Source organism: Homo sapiens, chromosome 2, assembly GCF_000001405.40.
Source record: "Homo sapiens chromosome 2, GRCh38.p14 Primary Assembly".
Taxonomy (NCBI): Eukaryota; Metazoa; Chordata; class Mammalia; order Primates; family Hominidae; genus Homo; species Homo sapiens.
The window spans coordinates 221,984,139-221,987,387 of record NC_000002.12 but is presented as its reverse complement, the minus strand read 5'-3'; the positions used below and the strand labels follow the sequence as shown (position 1 = coordinate 221,987,387).

At 45.9% G+C, this 3,249-nt stretch overlaps 1 annotated feature.

Annotated features, from left to right (window-relative positions):
- Positions 2,064–2,616: an enhancer, noted in NCBI's record as "H3K27ac-H3K4me1 hESC enhancer chr2:222849491-222850043 (GRCh37/hg19 assembly coordinates)". NCBI's record gives its function as "activates a minimal SCP1, AML or CMV promoter by ChIP-STARR-seq in primed H9 embryonic stem cells {active_cell/tissue: H9 hESC(primed)}" and the evidence as "EXISTENCE:reporter gene assay evidence [ECO:0000049][PMID:30033119]".

Sequence of the window (3,249 nt, the reverse complement as noted above, 5' to 3'; positions counted from 1 at the left end):
TTGTTCTCGTTGGTTTCAAAGAACATCTTTATTTTTGCCTTCATTTCGTTATGTATCCAGTAGTCATTCAGGAGCAGGTTGTTCAGTTTCCATGTAGTTGAGCGGTTTTGAGTGAGATTCTTAATTCTGAGTTCTAGTTTGATTGCACTGTGCTCTGAGAGATAGTTTGTTATAATCTCTGTTCTTTTACATTTGCTGAGGAGAGCTTTACTTCCAACTATGTGGTCAATTTTGGAATAGGTGTGGTGTGGTGCTGAAAAAAATGTATATTCTGTTGATTTGGGGTGGAGAGTTCTGTAGATGTCTATTAGGTCCACTTGGTGCAGAGCTGAGTTCAATTCCTGGGTATCCTTGTTGACTTTCTGTCTCATTGATCTGTCTAATGTTGACAGTGGGGTGTTAAAGTCTCCCATTATTAATGTGTGGGAGTCTAAGTCTCTTTGTAGGTCACTCAGGACTTGCTTTATGAATCTGGGTGCTCCTCTATTGGGTGCATATATATTTAGGATAGTTAGCTCCTCTTGTTGAATTGATCCCTTTACCATTATGTAATGGCCTTCTTTGTCTCTTTTGATCTTTGTTGGTTTAAAGTCTGTTTTATCAGAGACTAGGATTGCAACCCCTGCCTTTTTTTGTTTTCCATTTGCTTGGTAGATCTTCCTCCATCCTTTTATTTTGAGCCTATGTGTGTCTCTGCACATGAGATGGGTTTCCTGAATACAGCACACTGATGGGTCTTGACTCTTTATCCAATTTGCCAGTCTGTGTCTTTTAATTGGAGCATTTAGTCCATTTACATTTAAAGTTAATATGGTTATGTGTGAATTTGATCCTGTCATTATGATGTTAGCTGGTGATTTTGCTCGTTAGTTGATGCAGTTTCTTCCTAGTCTCGATGGTCTTTACATTTTGGCATGATTTTGCAGCGGCTGGTACCGGTTGTTCCTTTTCATGTTTAGCTCTTCCTTCAGGAGCTCTTTTAGGGCAGGCCTGGTGGTGACAAAATCTCTCAGCATTTGCTTGTCTGTAAAGTATTTTATTTCTCCTTCACTTATGAAGCTTAGTTTGGCTGGATATGAAATTCTGGGTTGAAAATTCTTTTCTTTAAGAATGTTGAATATTGGCCCCCACTCTCTTCTGGCTTGTAGGGTTTCTGCCGAGAGATCCACTGTTAGTCTGATGGGCTTCCCTTTGAGGGTAACCCGACCTTTCTCTCTGGCTGCCCTTAACATTTTTTCCTTCATTTCAACTTTGGTGAATCTGACAATTATGTGTCTTGGAGTTGCTCTTCTCGAGGAGTATCTTTGTGGCGTTCTCTGTATTTCCTGAATCTGAACGTTGGCCTGCCTTGCTAGATTGGGGAAGTTCTCCTGGATAATATCCTGCAGAGTGTTTTCCAACTTGGTTCCATTCTCCCCATCACTTTCAGGTACACCAATCAGACGTAGATTTGGTCTTTTCACATAGTCCCATATTTCTTGGAGGCTTTGCTCATTTCTTTTTATTCTTTTGTCTCTAAACTTCCCTTCTCGCTTCATTTCATTCATTTCATCTTCCATCGCTGATACCCTTTCTTCCAGTTGATCGCATCGGCTCCTGAGGCTTCGGCATTCTTCACGTAGTTCTCGAGCCTTGGTTTTCAGCTCCATCAGCTCCTTTAAGCACTTCTCTGTATTGGTTATTCTAGTTATACATTCTTCTAAATTTTTTTTCAAAGTTTTCAACTTCTTTGCCTTTGGTTTGAACGTCCTCCCGTAGCTCAGAGTAATTTGATCGTCTGAAGCCTTCTTCTCTCAGCTCGTCAAAGTCATTCTCCATCCAGCTTTGTTCCGTTGCTGGTGAGGAACTGCGTTCCTTTGGAGGAGGAGAAGCGCTCTGCGTTTTAGAGTTTCCAGTTTCTCTGTTCTGTTTTTTCCCCATCTTTGTGGTTTTATCTACTTTTGGTCTTTGATGATGGTGATGTACAGATGGGTTTTCGGTGTGGATGTCCTTTCTGTTTGTTAGTTTTCCTTCTAACAGATAGGACCCTCAGCTGCAGGTCTGTTGGAATACCCTGCCGTGTGAGGTGTCAGTGTGCCCCTGCTGGGGATTGCCTCCCAGTTAGGCTGCTTGGGGGTCAGGGGTCAGGGACCCACTTGAGGAGGCAGTCTGCCCGTTCTCAGATCTCCAGCTGCGTGCTGGGAGAACCACTGCTCTCTTCAAAGCTGTCAGACAGGGACATTTAAGTCTGCAGAGGTTACTGCTGTCTTTTTGTTTGTCTGTGCCCTGCCCCCAGAGGTGGAGCCTACAGAGGCAGGCAGGCCTCGTTGAGCTGTGGTGGGCTCCACCCAGTTCGAGCTTCCCAGCTGCTTTGTTTACCTAAGCAAGCCTGGGCAATGGCGGGCGCCCCTCCCCCGGCCTCGCTGCTGCCTTGCAGTTTGATCTCAGACTGCTGTGCTAGCAATCAGCGAGATTCCGTGGGCGTAGGACCCTCCGAGCCAGGTGTGGGATATAATCTCGTGGTGCGCCGTTTTTTAAGCCGGTCCGAAAAGCGCAATATTCGGGTGGGAGTGACCCGATTTTCCAGGTGAGTCCGTCACCCCTTTCTTTGACTGGGAAAGGGAACTCCCTGACCCCTTGCAATTCCCAGGTGAGGCAATGCTCGCCCTGCTTCGGCTCGCGCACGGTGCACGCACCCACTGACCTGCGCCCACTGTCTGGCACTCCCTAGTGAGATGAACCCGGTACCTCAGATGGAAATGCAGAAATCACCTGTCTTCTGCGTCACTCACGCTGGGAGCTGTAGACAGGAGCTGTTCCTATTCGGCCATCTTGGCTCCTCCTTCCGAAAAATTGTGTTCATTCTGATGTAGTAGGGAAGGAAGTATAAACAGTCATCATTTTGTGATGGCTTCACGAGACAGCTGTGTTGAGAGGCACTGGTGCCAGTCTTTGAGAGTGATTAGCAGTCTGAATTCAGAGGGTTGGGAGATCTCAAATAGCAGCAAAGTAGAACTTAATACTATTCTTAAAAATATGCCATTTTGACCCATGCAGTGGCTCATGCCTGTAATCCCAGCACTTTGGAAGGCCAAGGTAGGTGGATCACTTGAGGTCAGGAGTTTGACACCAGCCTGGCCAACATGGTGAAATCCCATCTCTACTAAAAATACAAAAATTAGCCAGGCATGGTGGTGCCTGCCTGTAATCCTGGCTACTCAGGAGGCTGAGGCAGGAGGATCACTTGAGCCTGGGAGATAGAGGTTGCAG